Source organism: Homo sapiens, chromosome 19, assembly GCF_000001405.40.
Source record: "Homo sapiens chromosome 19, GRCh38.p14 Primary Assembly".
Lineage (NCBI taxonomy): Eukaryota > Metazoa > Chordata > Mammalia > Primates > Hominidae > Homo > Homo sapiens.
The window spans coordinates 4,518,646-4,535,348 of record NC_000019.10 but is presented as its reverse complement, the minus strand read 5'-3'; the positions used below and the strand labels follow the sequence as shown (position 1 = coordinate 4,535,348).

The following is a 16,703-nucleotide window of genomic DNA, read 5'->3' as shown; positions in this document are numbered from 1 at the left end:
GGCGAGGGAAGCCTGGAGCCACGCCCCCTGGGCACGCCCCCGCACGGCCTCTCCCCATTGGTCAGTTCCGGAGGCCCCCACTGCGCGAGCAGCTATAAGAAGGGCGGGCGGGACCGGCGGGGGTGTGGAGACTCGAGCCTGGGGTCGGCGGAGACAGCTGGTGTCTGAAGCCGCTCGCGCCCAGGTGAGTGCCCTGAGGGCGGCGTCCGGGAGCGCCCCCCCGGGCTTAGGAGAGGAGCTCCAGATAGGGTGGTTGGGCGAAGGTCCGGCGGCGTGGGACGGGTATGACCGGCCAGAGCAGGTGGCTGGGACCCTTGGCCCGGTTGGCCCCAGCTCAGGACCCAGTTGGGCGAGGACCAGGCCTCAGAGGACGCGGGGTGGCAACCGGAGGGATCGCAGGCGGCAGGTCTGAGGCCCGAGGTCGAGCTCCCCCCCTGTAACTCTAGCTGGCTGCGTGACCTTGGGACCAGCATGGACCTGCTGCGTACCTCAGTTGCCCTGTCTGTCAAATGAGCTGTGAGTGGACTGGGACCCAGCAGCTACCACCTCCAGCCGTCTAGGGTGCTTGGGCAGTTCTGGGCCCAGGCAGGGGCCGCAGGGGTAGCAGGGACCTCCCACATCTTACAAAACAGGAAGCAGCCCAGAGAGGTGAAGGTGCTTGCCAAAAATCACACAGCTGGCCAGGTGCAGTGTCTCATGCCTGTAATCCCAGCACTTTGGGAGGCCGAGGTGGGCAGATCACTTGAGCCCAGGAGTTTGAGACCAGCCTGGGCAACATGGCGAAACCCGGTTTCTACTAAAAATACAAAAATTAGCCGAGCATGGTGGCACGTGGGTAATCCCAGCTAACTGGGAGGCTGAAGCAGGAGAATCACTTGAACCTGGGAGGCGGAAATTGCAGTGAGCTGGGATGGCGCCACTGCTCTCCAGCCTGGGCGAGAGAGATTCTGTCTTTAAAAAAATAATAAAAATAACACCGCAATTAATGGTAGCATTTGAACCCAGGTCTTTCTCACCTCAGAGACCATGCTTCGAGTCACTCCGGCAACCCTACCTTGCCAGAGGCTCATTATTGGACACCCTCTGTGTACAGAGCTCTGGACATGCATTGTCTGAGCTCCACAGAATGCCCCATTATGCAGATGAAGAAACTGAGGCCCCAAGAGGTTTGAGAGTTGCTCAAGTCACAGAGCCCAATTTGACAGGATCTGATGCCTGGGCAGGTGCTCCCCTTACTCAATCCTGCCCCGCAGGGTGACCCTGTTTGCAGCACGATGTCTGAAGAAGAGGCGGCTCAGATCCCCAGATCCAGTGTGTGGGAGCAGGACCAGCAGGTGAGGGCTGCCCCTCCCATGGAGCAGGGACAGAAGGTATTGTGTGGGACAGTCCCTTCTAGGAGCGTTTCAGGCCAGGTATCCCGCCCCACTCCTCTCCTTGCTGGGAAAACCTGAGTCATAAAATATTTTGGTCCATGGAGGGGATGGTCTATTTCCTAGTGGGGGCTTAATGAGGCCCTGGGAGGGGAGTGTCTCTCAAAGACACCCAGCTGGCTTCTGTGGCCCCTACCCAACCCTTTCCCTCTCCTTTGATCCCTGGGTCTCCACCTGTATCCTTCTGTCTCCACGTCCACCATCATGGCGCCCTCAGTAACAACAATAGTAAGAGCAGCAATCACTGTATCAGTCACAGTTCCAACCGTTTCATGTATATTGGCTCCTTGAACACCCATCACAACCCTAGTAACCCATTTCATAGATGGGGAAACAAAGGCACCGAACAGTTCAGTGGCTTGCCCAAGTTCACACAACTTGCAGGCAGCTGAACCAGAAGTGAACAGAGGCCACTGTGCTCCAGGGGCAGTGCTCTGAACCCCCAGACTCTAACATCTCCTCCCTCGAGCAGACAGATCGCAGTGGACCCTTCAACAACATGGGTTTGAACTGCACAGGTCAGGCTGGGTGCGGTGGCTCAGACGCCTGTAATCCCAGCACTTTGGGAGGCCAAGCGGGCAGATCAACTGAGGTCAGGAGTTCGAGACCAGCCTGGCTAACTTGGTGAAACCCTGTCTCTACTAAAAATACAAGAATTAGCCGGGTGTGGTGGCGGGTGCCTGTATTCCCAGCTACTCGGGAGCCTGAGGCAGGAGAACCGCTTGAACCCTGAAGGCGGGGGTTGCAGTGAGCCGAGATCACGCCACTGCACTCCAGCCTAGGTAACAAGAACGAGACTCCATCTCAAAAAAAAAAAAAAGCCAGGTGGGGTGGTGCCTGCCTGGAATCCCAGCTAATTGGGAGGCTGAGGCAGGAGAATCTCTTGAACCCAGGAGACAGAAGTATGCAGACCTTTTTCAACCAAATGCAGATAAAAAAAATATAGTATTTGGCCAGGTGCAGTGGCTCATGCCTATAATCCCAGCATATTAGGAGACTGAAGCGGGAGGATCGCTTGAGCCAGGAGTTCAAGACCAGCATGGGCAACACAGCAAGACCCAATCTCTATAAAATAAAATAAAATTAGCTGGGCACAGTGGTGTGCACCTGTAATCCCAGGTACTTGGAAACTGAGGTTGGAGGATTGCTTGAGGCTAGGAGGCTTAGGCTGCAGTGAGCCGTGCTTGAATCACTGCCCTCTAGCCTGGCCAACAGAGCAAGACCTTGTCTCTATTGAAAACAAAAAAATTGTGACCAGGTGCAATGGCTCAGGCCTGTAATCCTAGCACTTTGGGAGGCTGAGGTGGGTGGATCACCTGAGGTGGGTGGATCACCTGAGGTCGGGAGTTCGACACCAGCCTGGTCAACATAGTGAAACCCTGTTTCTACTAAAAATAAAAATAAAAACAAAATTGGCTGGGCGCGGTGGCTCACGCCTGTAATCCCTGCACTTTGGGAGGCCAAGGCAGGTGGATCACCTGAGGTCGGTAGTTTGAGACCAGCCTGACCAATGTGGAGAAACCCCATCTCTACTAAAAATACACAAACAAAACAAACAAAAAAAACGGGTATGGTGGCGCATGCCTGTAATTCCAGCTCCTCGGGAGGCTGAGGCAGGAGAATCACTTGAACCCGGGAGGCGGAGGTTGCGCTGAGCCGAGATCGTGCCACTGCACTCCAGCCTGGGCGATAGAGCGAGACTCCCTCTTATAATATAATTGCCAGGTGTGGTGGCGGGCACCTGTAATCCCAGCTACTTGGGAGGCTGAGGCAGGAGAATCGTTTGAATCCAGGAGGAGGTTGCCGTGAGCCGAGATGGTGCCACTGCACTCCAGCCTGGGTGATAAGAGTGAAACCCCATTACAAACAAAATTGTAATGCTCTGTGTACGCCATGGGAAGAGGAGCCTGTGAGTGCAGGAACCATGACATTCTCACATCCACGTTTATCTTCACTGCCTCTACGTGGCGGGGTGCTCAGTACTCCATCCTTCCACTCTCCCATCCCTCGTCCTGGCCCAGAGAGGGGAAGTAGGTTGAGGTGTGGCTAGGGCCCCACTTCCCCCAGGGTCCCCCTGATGCCGACCCTTCCCGCAGAACGTGGTGCAGCGTGTGGTGGCTCTGCCCCTGGTCAGGGCCACGTGCACCGCGGTCTGCGATGTTTACAGTGCAGCCAAGGACAGGCACCCGCTGCTGGGCTCCGCCTGCCGCCTGGCTGAGAACTGCGTGTGCGGCCTGACCACCCGTGCCCTGGACCACGCCCAGCCGCTGCTCGAGCACCTGCAGCCCCAGCGTGAGTGCCCTGGCCCGTGTCCCTGGGAGCTGTGGCTTGCCACCCCCCCACCGCCCCCTGTCCCATCCTCCTTGGTCTATCTGCATGACACTCCTGGGGGTCATCTTCAGCCTAGCCACCTGTCCCACTGCCATGCCACCTGTCCTCAATCTCTTCACTTAAGTCCTTCTTTAATCTGATCACCAGCCAGGCATGGTGGCTCATGCCTATGATCCCAGCACTTTGGGAGGCCGAGGAAGGAGGATCACTTGAGGCCAGGAGTTCAAGACCAGCCAGAGCAACGTAGCGAGACCCTGTATCTCAAAAAAAAAATTTTTTTTTTAAATCTGGCTGGGTGTGGTGGCTCATGCCTGTAATCCCAGCACTTCGTGAGGCTGAGGCGGTTGGATCACAAGGTCAGAAGTTTAAGACCAGCCTGGACAACATAGTGAAACCCTGTCTCTACTAAAAATACAAAACTTGGCCCGGTGTGGTGGCACATAACTGTAATCCTAGCTACTCAGGAGGCTCATGCAGGAGAATTGCTTGAACCCGGGAGGCAGAAGTTGCAGTCAGCCAAGACCGCACCATTGCGCTCCAGCCTGGGCAACAGAGTGAGACTCCATTTCAAAAAAAAAAAAGCAAAAACAAACAAAAAAAACTGATCCCCTGATAGGTGCGGTGGCTCATGCCTGTAATCCCAGTATTTTAGGAGTCCGAGGCAGGCAGATCACTCACTTGAGGTCAGGAGTTCGAGAACAGCCTGGCCAACATGGTGAAACCCCAACTCTACTAAAAATACAAAAAATTATCCAGGCGTGGTGGAGGGCGCCTGTAATCCCAGCTGCATGGGAGGCTGAGGCAGGAGAATCGCTTGAACCTGGGAGGCAGGGGATGCAGCAAGCCGAGATCGCACCACTGCACTCCAGCCTGGGTGACAGAGCTAGACTCTGTCTCAAAATAAATAAATAAATCTGATCCCCTGGCCCTCTGCCCTTACCTGTTTACTGGTGGGGCCCCTCCTCTCTGTCCCTATCCATCTGTCTCCCTGTGTCCCCTCCTTTGTTGGCCTGATGTGCCTTGGGTCCATTTGTCTCTCCAGGCCCCCTCCCCTCTGCACCTGCCTCTGCCTGTCCTAAGCCCCGCAGCCTCCGCTCTGTAGTTCTCACATCTCTGTGGACCCCTGAGCCGATGACAGGCGGGGGACTACAGGATCCTTGGCCTCTAGTCTGACCCAGGAAGAGGGTCACCTGAGGGTCCTAGCCCAGCACCTCCTCACCTCCCTCTCAGCCAGCTTCTGTGACCTTGAGTCTGTCCGCTGGGCCATCTGAGCTGGGCACGGCTGAAAAGTCGCCTTGGTGCTGGGAGAACAGGGTGGGTGGCAGGGCCCAGGCAGGATGGCAGAGGAGGCAGTGCCCAACCCAGCGGCCTACCCACACCCTCAGGGCCCCCAGTCTCACCTAGGGAGGCAGCCAGGTCCCCCTGTGGTCTAGGCCTTCTCCCCATCTCCCTCGTAGACTCTCTCTCCAGGCGCCACAGGTGTCTGCCCCAGCGTCTTTGGTGTAAGCGGCTTCTTGGTGTAAGGTCTCAGAAAGCCTGTCCATCTCCTGGTGTGGGTCTCGTCTCCATCATTCCGTTTTGTTTCTCCCTGTCTTATCCTGGTCTCCTTCCTTCTCTGTCTCTGCTTCTCTCTCTAGCATTCCCTCCTTCTACAACTCTCACTGCGTCCCTATCTCCCTCTGCGTCTCCCCGAGTCTCACTCCCCGCCTCTCTCCCTTCAGTGGCCACTATGAACAGCCTCGCCTGCAGGGGCCTGGACAAGCTGGAAGAGAAGCTTCCCTTTCTCCAGCAACCTTCGGAGACGGTACCCCGGACGACTAGACATGGGGACCTCCAGTGGGGGCAGGCCAGATTAGAGGCGGGAGGGAGGGAGGGATGGTGACAACCAGGCTTTTAGTTAACTCAAGAAAAAACAGCCAGGTTAAAATAACTGCAACGTGTGTGTGTGTGTGTGTGTGTGTGTGTGTGTGTGTGTGTATACATATATGTATATACGTATAGTGTATATATGTATATATACGTATAAGTATATATGTATATATACGTATAAGTATATATGTATATGTGTATATATACATGTATATATGTATATGTGTGTATATGTGTATATATGTATATGTATGTGTGTATACATATGTATTGCTAGTAAGGGCAGTTAACTCCCTCAACACCCTCTGTGAGGGAAGGGTTTTATCACCCATTTTATAGGGGAAACTGAGGCACGGAGCCAGGTAGAAGTCCAGGGATCTTTGAGTCCCAGCCCCAGGGAACTAGGGTGGCAGAAATGGAGCTGGAGTCCCACGGTGCCTGGAGTGGGGGGGCCCTTCCTTCCAGGTGGTGACCTCAGCCAAGGACGTGGTGGCCAGCAGTGTCACGGGTGTGGTGGACCTGGCCCGGAGGGGCCGGCGCTGGAGCGTGGAGCTGAAGCGCTCCGTGAGCCATGCTGTGGATGTTGTACTGGAAAAATCAGAGGAGCTGGTGGATCACTTCCTGCCCATGACGGAGGAAGAGCTCGGTGAGGACGACACCCTCAACCCTAACCCCTGAGTCCTGCCCCGTCCCCATCCCCTGTGGTACAGATCAGAGAGGTCTGAGACTCACCCAAGGTCACACAGCAGATCAGCAGGAAACATACAACTCAAAACCAGGCCTGTCCTCCCTCCCGGTCACTTCCACGGCCCCTCAACCTGCATCCCGCCAGGAGTCAGAACACCCAGACCCTAAGGGCATATAGGGCTTTTAGACTTGAGGTCCCAAACTGGTGGCCCCCAAATGCCTGTGCAGCGTGTTTTAAATATTTTCATTCTTTGCATGCATTTAACAACCAGATTTTGCATTACATGTCCCGATTCTTGGCTTGTTTTGAAAAACCAGACACACTGCCAGGCACAGTGGCTCACGCCTGTAATCTCAGCACTTTGGGAGGCCAAGGTGGGCAGATCATGAGGTCAGGAGTTCGAGCCCAGCCTGGCCAACATAGTGAAATCCCGTCTCTACTAAAAATACAAAAAATTAGCCAGGCGTGGTGGCGTGTGCCTGTATTCCCAGATACTCGGGAGGCTGAGGCAGGAGAATCACTTGAACCTGGGAGGTGGAGGTTGCAATGAGCTGAGATCGCGCTATTGCACTCCAGCCCAGGCCACAGTGCGAGACTCCGTTTCAAAAAAAAAAAAAGAAAAACTAGACACAGCCAGAATATTGTCTGCTCCTTCAGATGGTTTGCTCAGCTCCACTAGTCCCCAGTGGTTTATGTCATATCTACTTTGATGGTTTTTGGTACCTGCCTGGCCCTGGAGACCATGTGAATGTCCAACTCTGGCCTTACAGTACTGGAAGAATGTATGGGCTTACCCCCACCTCAGCAGAAAAGCAGGGAGGCGGCCGGGCACGGTGGCTCAGGCCTGTAATCCCAGCACTTTGGGGGGCCGAGGCGGGCCGATCACGAGGTCAGGAGATCGAGACCATCCTGGCTCACACGGTGAAACCCCGTCTCTACTAAAAATACAAAAAATTAGCCGGGCGTGGTGGCGGGCGCCTGTAGTCCCAGCTACTCAGGAGGCTGAGGCAGGAGAATGGCGTGAACCCGGGGGGTGGAGCTTGCAGTGAGCAGAGATCGCACCACTGCACTTGAGCCTGGGTGACAGAGCGAGACTCTATCTCAAAAAAAAAAAAAGGCAGTGAGGCATTGATCAGGCACTTCTTGTGTGCCAGGCACTCCTGAATTTTTTTTTCTTTTTTTTTGAGACAGAATCTCTCACTTTGTTGCCCAGGCTGGAGTGCAGTGTTGCGATCTCAGCTCACTACAGCCTCTGCCTCCCGTGTTCAAGCGATTCTCCGGCCTCAGCCTCCCAAGTAGCTGGGATTACAGGCACCCACCACTACACCCGGCTAATTTTTGTGTATTTAGTAGAGATGGGGTTTTGCATGTTGGCCAAACTCCTGACCTCAGGTGAGCCACCTGCCTTGACTTCCCAAAGTGCTGGGATTACAAGCGTGAGTCCACCACGCCCAACCATTGTTGTTTTTTTTTTTTTTTTTTTTTTTTTTTTGAAGTGGAGTCTCACTCTGTCGCCCAGGCTAGAGTGCAGTGATATGATCTTGGCTCACTGCAGCCTCCGCCTCCTGGGTTCAAGTGATTCTCCTGCCTCATCCTCCTAGACAAATGGAACTAGAGGTGCACACCACCACATCTGGCTGATTTAAAAATTTTTTTTTAGGCCGGGCGCGGTGGCTTACGCCTGTAATCCCAGCACTTTGGGAGGCCGAGGAGGGCAGATCACAAGGTCAGGAGATCGAGACCATCCTGTGAATGGTGAAACCCCGTCTCTACTAAAAATACAAAAAATTGGCCGGGCGTGGTGGCGGGTGCCTGTAGTCCCAGCTACTCAGGAGGCTGAGGTGGGAGAATGGCGTGAACCTGGGAGGTGAAGCTTGCAGTGAGCCGAGATTGCGCCACTGCACTCCAGCCTGGGCAACAGAGCGAGACTCCATCTCAAAAAAAAAAATTTTTTTTCTTAGAGATGGGGTCTTGTTCTGTCACCCAGGCTGGTCTCCAACTCCTGGGCTCAAGTGATCCCCCTGCCTTGGCCTCCCAAAGTGCTGGGATTACAGGCGTGAGCCGCTGTGCCTGGACTATGATATATTCTTTTTATTTTTTTCCACCATATCTTGTGTGGATTTTCTCTTTTTTTATTATTTTTCATTCATTTTTTTAATTTTAATTTTTTTTTGAGATGGAGTCTTGCTCTGTTGCCCAGGCTAGAGGGCAGTGGTGTGATCGTAGCTAACCATAGCCTTCAATTCCTGAGCTCAATTGATCCTCCTGCCTCAGCTTCTCAAGCAGCTGGGACTATAGGCACACGCCACTGTGCCCAGCCCTGGCTAATTTCTGTATTTCTTTTTTAGAGACAGGGTTTTTTGCTGTATTGCCTAAGCTAGTCTCAAAGTAATCCTCCCTGGGCTCAAGCAATCCTCCCATCTCGGCCTCCCAAAGTGCTGGGATTACAAGTGCATGCTGCTGCACCCAACCTATATTTTTAAAAGGCTGCTTAAAAGAATGGTTAAGCAGGCCAGGCATGATGGCTCACACCTGTAAACACAGCACGTTAGGAGGCCAGGCAGGCGGATCAATTGAGCTCAGGAGTTCTAGACCAGCCTGGCCAACATGGTGAAACCCCGTCTCTACTAAAAATACAAAACTTAATCGGGTGTGGTGGTGCACGCCTGTGGTCCCAGCTACTCAAGAGGCTGAGGCAGGAGAATCGCTTGATCCTGGGAGGCAGAGGTTGCAGTGAGCTGGGATAGTGCCACTGCACTCCAGCCTAGGGGACAGAGCGAGACTCCATCTCAAAGAAAAAAAAAATGGTTAAGCAGTTTGGGACCAACGTGCCTGGGTTCCAATCTGGGTCTGCTTCTTGGATCCTGCAGGATCTCACCTCTCCTTTGCCTCAGTTTTCCTCCTGTGTAAAACAGGGCCCACCATAGTGCCTACATCTTAGGGTTTGGGGAAGACCAAATGGGTTGATGTCAGTCAAGGGGAACTGTGAATGTGGGAACCTGTGGCTTCTGTACCCAGAGGTGGGTGAGCAGATGTGGAGGGGGTGGGTGGCTGTGCTGACCCCATGCTGTCCCCGTGCTGTCCCCGTATCCTGTCCCCGTGCTGTCCCCGTATCCTGTCCCCGTGCTGTCCCCGTATCCTGTCCCCGTGCTGTCCCCGTATCCTGTCCCCGTGCTGTCCCCGTATCCTGTCCTCCAGCGGCACTGGCGGCTGAGGCTGAAGGCCCTGAAGTGGGTTCGGTGGAGGATCAGAGGAGACAGCAGGGCTACTTTGTGCGCCTCGGCTCCCTGTCAGCACGGATCCGCCACCTGGCCTACGAGCACTCTGTGGGGAAACTGAGGCAGAGCAAACACCGTGCCCAGGACACCCTGGCCCAGCTGCAGGAGACGCTGGAGCTGGTGAGAGCCCGCTGCCCGCCCCTGCTCCGGGATGCAGGCCAATCAGTATGGATTGAGCACCAGCTGAATACCGGATCCCGTGCTAGCCTAAAGCAGGAGGCGGAGCTGGGTGCAGCTGTCTCCAGCTGCATGTGTTCAGGGCTGGGGGACCCGGGCCTGGAGGAGCCCAGGGATGTCATGGCTCTGCCTGGAGAGTCAGGGAGGGGTTTTGTGGAAGAGGGGAAGGAGAAGCTGGAATTTATAGCAAGTTAGGGTAGGTCAGAAGAGAGCCTTCCTCCTCATCAGAATCCTCCCATCCTCAGCTCTTCCCTCCCCGCAGCAGCCACCAGAGGGCACCTGTGAGCCCCTGAGTCAGGTCTGTCCCTTCTTTACCCACAGCCCTCTATGGCTCCCACCTCCCTTGGGGTCCAAGCCCAAGTCTTCCCCACGGCCCTGCACAACCTGCCTCGGTCTCCTAAATGCTTACTGAGGCCAGATCAGTGGTCCTGGACCCCACCCCGACCCCCAGCTCCCCCAGCTCCCCCAGCTCTGAAGACCACCATTTCTGTCCTTGCAGATAGACCACATGCAGTGTGGGGTGACCCCCACCGCCCCGGCCTGCCCTGGGAAGGTGCACGAGCTGTGGGGGGAATGGGGCCAGCGCCCTCCGGAGAGCCGCCGCCGGAGCCAGGTGAGACCGCAGGAGTGCCAGGTGAGGTGGTGTCTGCCACCAGGCCGCGGAGGAAGAGGGGGAGCGACGGACTGCGGGTCAGCCCAGTACTGCCGGGGACCCAACTCAAGCTATCTCAAACCAAGTGCTGAGCTCAGCTAGTTGAGGTGTCTGGGGGGGGAAACTGAGGCAGGTTTAAGTCCCATTGTGTGTTTTATTTATGTATTTATTTTGAGATGGAGTTTTATTATTTTATTATTTATTTATTTTTGAGATGGAGGGAGGTGGGGGGAAAGGGGGGTGTTGGCCCAAGCAAGCAGTAGTCCCTGGCTTCCCGCCCCTTCTCGCTTTCCCTCCCTCCACATTCTCTCCCTGAACCTATAGCCTAGAAACCATCTCTCCACTTTCCACTTTATTTATATTTATTTATTTGAGAAGGAGTCTGTCTCTGTCGCCCAGGCTGGAGTGCAGTGGCGCGATCTCAGCTCACTGCAACCTCCGCCTCCCGGGTTCAAGCGATTCTCCTGTCTCAGCCTCCTAAGTAGCTGGGACTACAGGTGTCCACCACCACGCCCAGCTAATTTTTGTATTTTTGGTAGATACGGGGTTTCGCCATGTTGGCCAGGCTAGTCTTGAACTCCGCACCTCAGGTGATCCGCCCGACTCGGCCTCCCAAAGTGCTGGGATTACAGGCGTGAGCCACCGCGACCGGCCCCATTGTGTGTTTATGAAGGAGACTGAGTCAGGGCTGGGTCACATTCTGTGTCTACAGGGGACAGGACTATGAGGTCTATGAGACAGGTTGACAGCTCCACTGTGGGTCCATCAGAGAAACCGAGGCAGGACAGCAGTCCTCCTGGGCGTCCATAGGGGAAACTGAGGTCCCCGCCCCCTGCAGGCAGAGCTGGAGACGCTGGTGCTGTCCCGCAGCCTGACCCAGGAGCTGCAGGGCACGGTAGAGGCTCTGGAGTCCAGCGTGCGGGGCCTGCCCGCCGGCGCCCAGGAGAAGGTGGCTGAGGTGCGGCGCAGTGTGGATGCCCTGCAGACCGCCTTCGCTGATGCCCGCTGCTTCAGGGACGTGCCAGCGGCCGCGCTGGCCGAGGGCCGGGGTCGCGTGGCCCACGCGCACGCCTGCGTGGACGAGCTGCTGGAGCTGGTGGTGCAGGCCGTGCCGCTGCCCTGGCTGGTGGGACCCTTCGCGCCCATCCTTGTGGAGCGACCCGAGCCCCTGCCCGACCTGGCGGACCTGGTGGACGAGGTCATCGGGGGCCCTGACCCCCGCTGGGCGCACCTGGACTGGCCGGCCCAGCAGAGAGCCTGGGAGGCAGAGCACAGGGACGGGAGTGGGAATGGGGATGGGGACAGGATGGGTGTTGCCGGGGACATCTGCGAGCAGGAACCCGAGACCCCCAGCTGCCCGGTCAAGCACACCCTGATGCCCGAGCTGGACTTCTGACCCATGGGCCAGTGGAGGCGGGGAGGAAAGGCCACCTGCACACCCCGATCCCTGCTGCCCCCTGGTGGCCACACGTAAGCTCGAGGCCTTGGCCTTGACCCTTCTTTGGAATCAGGCCCAACTCCGGATCTCTGACCACCTTTTTGGTATTGGACTCTCCCATTTTTTCCTTGAACACATGGACAAAGAGGCCCGGGGGAGCAGGGCCTCGAACCCTATTCAGGCCAACTTGAGCCACAAGCTGGGTTCTTCACCTATGTCCTGCTCCCTGGCTCCATGAAGCGAATCCAAATCTTTCCAAGAGGCTGGGCACAGTGGCTCACGCCTGTAATCCCAGCACTTTGGGAGTCTGAGGCAGGTGGATCATCTGAAGTCAGGAGTTCGGGATCATCCTGGCCAACATGATGAAACCCTGTCTCTACTTAGAAAGAAAGAAAAAAAAAAAAAAAGCCAGGTGTGGTGGTGTGCACCTGTAGTCCCAGCTAGTTGTGAGGCTGACGCAGAAGAATTGCTTAAACCCGAGAGGCGCGGAGCTTGCAGTGAGCAGAGATCGCGCCACTGCACACCAGCCTGGGTGACAGAGCGAGACTCCATCTAACAAAAAATAATAGTAACAGCCTCCCGAAGAAATACACATTTTGCCCAATGCCTTCTGTTTGGGGCTTTGAAAAGTGAGCCCTGACTGGGTGTGGTGGTTGACACCTGTTATCACAGCACTTTGGGAGGCCAAGGTGGGAGGACTGCTTGAGCCCAGGAGTTGGAGGCTGCAGTGAGCCATGATCTTGCCCCTGCGCTCTCGCCTGGGTGACAGAGCAAGACTCTATCTCAAAAATGTTTTTAAAAAATACTTCCTAGGGAAACACACATTTTGCCCTATTTGGAACTTTGAAAAGTGAGCCCTCCTCTGCCCATGGGCCGTGCTGCTCAGCCTGCCATACTCGCTTGCTTTGCTGTTTGGGATTTGCCTCCAGAATAAAGGTCCTTTTTGTTGTTGAAAGGCCCACGTGTGTGTTCCAGCCAGGGTGAGTCTCAGTCCCAGGGGGCTGGGGGCCACGGAGGTGTGTCACTGCTGAGACATGGAGAAGGGGGTGTGTAGAGCCAGAGTTCAAGATCTAGAAGAATGGTGCTTCTCTGACCTGCCTGTCATCCTGTCTGGGATCCACCGTTACTGCCCAGCCCATGTGGGGTAAGCATTACCACTTAAAATTAGCCGGGCACCATGGCTCATATCGGTAATCCCAGCACTTTGGGAGGCTGAGGTGGGAGGATTTCATGAGCCCGGGAGTTTTGACACCAGCCTGGGCAACATAGGAGACCTTGTCTCTACGAAAAATTTTAAAATGACACATGGTACGAGCCTGTGCCCCAGCTACTCGGGAGGCTGAGGCAGCAGGATCGCTTGAGCCTAGGAAGTTGAGGTTGCAGTGAGCTTGGATCAGTAACCACTCCACTCCAGCCTGGGCAACAGAGTGAGACCCTGTCTCTAAAAATAAACAACAGCATTGCCCCTTTGGCCGCATGGAAGCTGTTCTCATCTTGGTACAGGTGAATTTCATGGAATTGCAGGGAGCAGAAAAGATGGGGAAGGAGTCAGATGGGGCAGCTCTCTCTCTACCTCCTGGTCCTGCAGGAGCTGGTCTTGCTGTGGTCTCTCCAGCTGCACTGGCCAGGATGGGAAGACAGAGGCAGGGCAAGGGCCATAGGCTGGTCTCGGGGGTTTCCTCCTGTCCTCTGACCGCATTCCTGGCTGCTCTTCCGACTCCCCTGGGGCTGGGCGGGGTGTTGGGAAACCACAGCTTGGTATGGTGAGGTCAGGGTGGCCCCTGACTTCCCTGGGACATAGTCCAGAGGGCAGCTCTGGGATCTCCGACCACTTCCACCAGCCAAATCTACCTCCCTGCTCCTGTTCTGGAATCTCCCACAGGTCCCCACTGCCCACAGACCAAACTCTTCACCTTCCAGCTTCCTCCTCCAGCCTGACCTGGATACTTTGCTCTCTTACCATTGAAGTGGGCACATTCCCACCTCCGGGCCTTTGCTGAGGCTGTGCGGCCACCTTGGAATACTCTTCCCACCCCCCATCCGTCCCTCGGACACATCTCATACATCCTCAAGGCCCAGCCTCAATGCCTCCTCCTCCAGGAAGGCTTCCAGGACTCCATCCCAGCCGGATACTTCCCTCCTCCGGTCCTCCACAGGCCACCTTCTCAAGGTTTCTTGCCCTTTCCACCTTGACTTTATAGCCACAGGCAGCCTTGCTCTCTCTTCCCACATGAGGCTGGGGGCTCCTGGCAGGGCCAGGCCTGTTGAGGATGATCAGAACAGCACATAGGGGTAGGCATTTTGGCAGAGGGAACAGCTTAGGGAAAGGCACAGCAGTAGGGAAATCAGTTTCACTGCAGCAGAGGTGAGGAAAAGAGAATGGGTTGAGCTAAGCCCTGGGATTTTTCTTTTCTTTTCTTTTCTTTGGGGGGGTGGGGAAGGAGTCTCACTCTGTCACCCAGGCTGGAGTGCAGTGGCGCGATCTTGGCTCACTGCAACCTCCACCTCCCAGGTTCAAGTGATTCTCCTGCCTCAGCCTCCCGAGTAGCTGGGATTACAGGCGTGCGCCACCACACACAGCTGATTTTTGTATTTTTAGTAGAGATAGGGTTTTGCCATGTTGGCCAGGCTGGTCTCGAACCCTGACCTCAGGTGATCCACCTGCCTCGGCCTCCCAAGATGCTGGGATTACAGGCATGAGTCACCGCGCCTGGCCCATTAATTCATTTAATTTTTATTTAAAGATATATTTTGGGCAGCCGGGCACAGTGGCTCATGCCTGTAACCCCAGCGCTTTGGGAGGCCGAGGCAGGTGGATCACGAGGTCAGGAGATCGAGACCATCCTGCCTAGCACAGTGAAACCCTGTCTCTACTAAAAATACAAAAAATTAGCTGGGTGTGGTGGCGAGTGCCTGTAGTCCCAGCTACTCGGGAGGCTGAGGCAGGAGAATGGCATGAACCCGGGAGGCAGAGCTTGCAGTGAGCCGAGATCGCACCACTGTACTCCAGCCTGGGCGACAGAGCGCGACCCCGCCTCAACAGAAATATATATATATAAAATATATTTTTTTTATTTATTTTTTTTTTTTTTTCTTTTGTTCTTTTGAGGCGGGGTGGCGCTCTGTCGCCCAGGCTGGTCTCAAACTCCTGTGCTCAAGCCAATCCTCCTGCCTCGGTCTCCCTAAATGCTGGGGTTACAGGGTGAGCCATGGCACCTGGCCTGAGGTATATATTTTTTAAAGGGAGAGGAGATCCAGGAATGCCTCTTTGAGGAAGTGATATTTGAGGAAAGACCTGGAAGGAGGTGAGGGATGTGGGAAAGGGTGCTGGAGGCAAAAGCAACAACCCACACGAAAGCCCTGAGGAAGGGTGTGCGGGGCTAAGCAGGCACAGTCACGTGTGTCTTTGAGGGACTCTGTCCTGGCATGTTATGGGAACAGTGAAAAGGCCCGTGTGGCTGGAGCAGAGTGAAGAGAAGAAGGAGAGGAAGGTGGGGAGCAGACGAGGCAGGTTATGCAGGGCCTACCGGGCTGCAGGAAGGGGACTTGGGCTTTGACCCTGGGCTCCCACCCCGGAGAAGGTGGGAGCCATGGAGGGTGCTGGGCAGAGGAGGGGTAGATCCTGGCTGGGATGTTTATGATCACTTTTTAATTTTTTCTCTCCACACACTGGGCTGTGGCTGCCCTTTGGGAAGGGGAGGGGCACCCAGAGCTCTCCCAGCCACCCTTGGGAAGCACTGGCTGGTAGAAGAGGTTGGGGGACACCCCCCCTTCTGTTCCCCCACTGTTTGGCAAACACAGTGTCGGCTCCAAGGAGACAGACGGCCTGGGAATCATCAGATCCTGTGGCTGTACCCTCCCTCCTCCCAGCCCAGTGCCCAGAGCCACCCATGGGGTCTGCCCTCTCACCCCCAATAACACAGGGCTAGGAACCCTGTCTCAGGGGCAGGTAGGAGGGGGACACAGCCCAGGGTGGGCGTTACGGCCATTCCTCTGCCCACCCACCCACAGACAGCCCAGCACATAGGCTGGGCTCAGCACGAAGGTCCTGGGTCTGGGTTTGAATCCCGTCCTCACCACTTCCTGGAACAGGAGGGTCTGGGTTTGAATCCCATCCTCACCACTTCTGGAACAGGACGCCTCCTCCAGGGAGCCTCCCTGGGTTGGCCCAAGCCCCCCAGGCTGGGTTTCCACTCCTAGGGTGCCCCCAGCTTGGCTGGTGCTCCATCTTGGTCTGCGTTTTGGCCCAAGTCCCTTCCGGAGAGTGATGGGCTCCCCTCCACACTGAGGACACCCCCTGCTCCTTGCCGAGACCCCGAGACCCCGCTTCTGCCTGGGTAACGCGAAGGCAGCATTTGTTCAGTGCATGACCTCATCTCACAGAGGCTCACAACCACTCTCTGTGTTGCTCCATTGAGCCAAACGTGTATTAAGCGCCAAATGTATGCCAGGCACTGTTCTGTGGGCGGAAGAGGGTGCCCTGTGGGAACCTGCAGGGAAGGTGTTCCAGGCAGAGGGCACAGCCCGTGCAGAGGCCCTAAGGCAGGACCGTGCCAGGTGCGCTGGAGGCATAGCGAGGAGGCCTGTGTGGCTGGGATGAAGCAAGCGAAGGAGGAAGCTGGGGGAGATGAGAGCAGAGAAGAAGCTGGATGTTACGGGACGTGGTGCGGAGTACGAGAGAGAAACCTGAAGCAAAAAGATGGTAACTGGCCAAGGCATCCTGGTGCAGCAGAGATTTGAACTACACCCACCTCGTGGATGGAACTGGAGGCTCAGGGGCCCGGGAGGGGAGCCCATCTGGCCTGTGAGCCACTCAGCCTGATGCAAGCTGTGGGCAGGA

The 16,703-nt window shown here is 55.8% G+C and overlaps 1 protein-coding gene across 1 annotated transcript, besides 1 other annotated feature; it reads left to right on the top strand.

Annotated features, from left to right (window-relative positions):
- The first annotated feature begins 124 nt into the window (after positions 1-124).
- PLIN5 (perilipin 5) lies at positions 125-12,818 on the top strand. The gene is made up of 8 exons (NM_001013706.3): positions 125-184; positions 1,254-1,334; positions 3,527-3,722; positions 5,483-5,565; positions 6,096-6,276; positions 9,517-9,716; positions 10,273-10,386; positions 11,264-12,818. The coding sequence occupies exons 2-8, from the start codon at positions 1,275-1,277 to the stop codon at positions 11,819-11,821; spliced, it is 1,392 nt and encodes a 463-aa protein (NP_001013728.2). The 5' UTR covers positions 125-184; positions 1,254-1,274; the 3' UTR covers positions 11,822-12,818.
- Positions 419-974: an enhancer, noted in NCBI's record as "H3K4me1 hESC enhancer chr19:4534387-4534942 (GRCh37/hg19 assembly coordinates)". NCBI's record gives its function as "activates a minimal SCP1, AML or CMV promoter by ChIP-STARR-seq in naive H9 embryonic stem cells {active_cell/tissue: H9 hESC(naive)}" and the evidence as "EXISTENCE:reporter gene assay evidence [ECO:0000049][PMID:30033119]".
- Positions 12,819-16,703: the final 3,885 nt, after the last annotated feature.

Bases quoted from the DNA above. Each gene is read 5' to 3' on its own strand.
- PLIN5 (NM_001013706.3), top strand. From the start codon at position 1,275: ATGTCTGAAGAAGAGGCGGCTCAGATCCCCAGATCCAGTGTGTGGGAG. The intron at 5,566-6,095 runs GTACCCCGGACG...CCTTCCTTCCAG, and splicing joins TCCAGCAACCTTCGGAGACG to GTGGTGACCTCAGCCAAGGA. The intron at 9,717-10,272 runs GTGAGAGCCCGC...CTGTCCTTGCAG, and splicing joins TGCAGGAGACGCTGGAGCTG to ATAGACCACATGCAGTGTGG.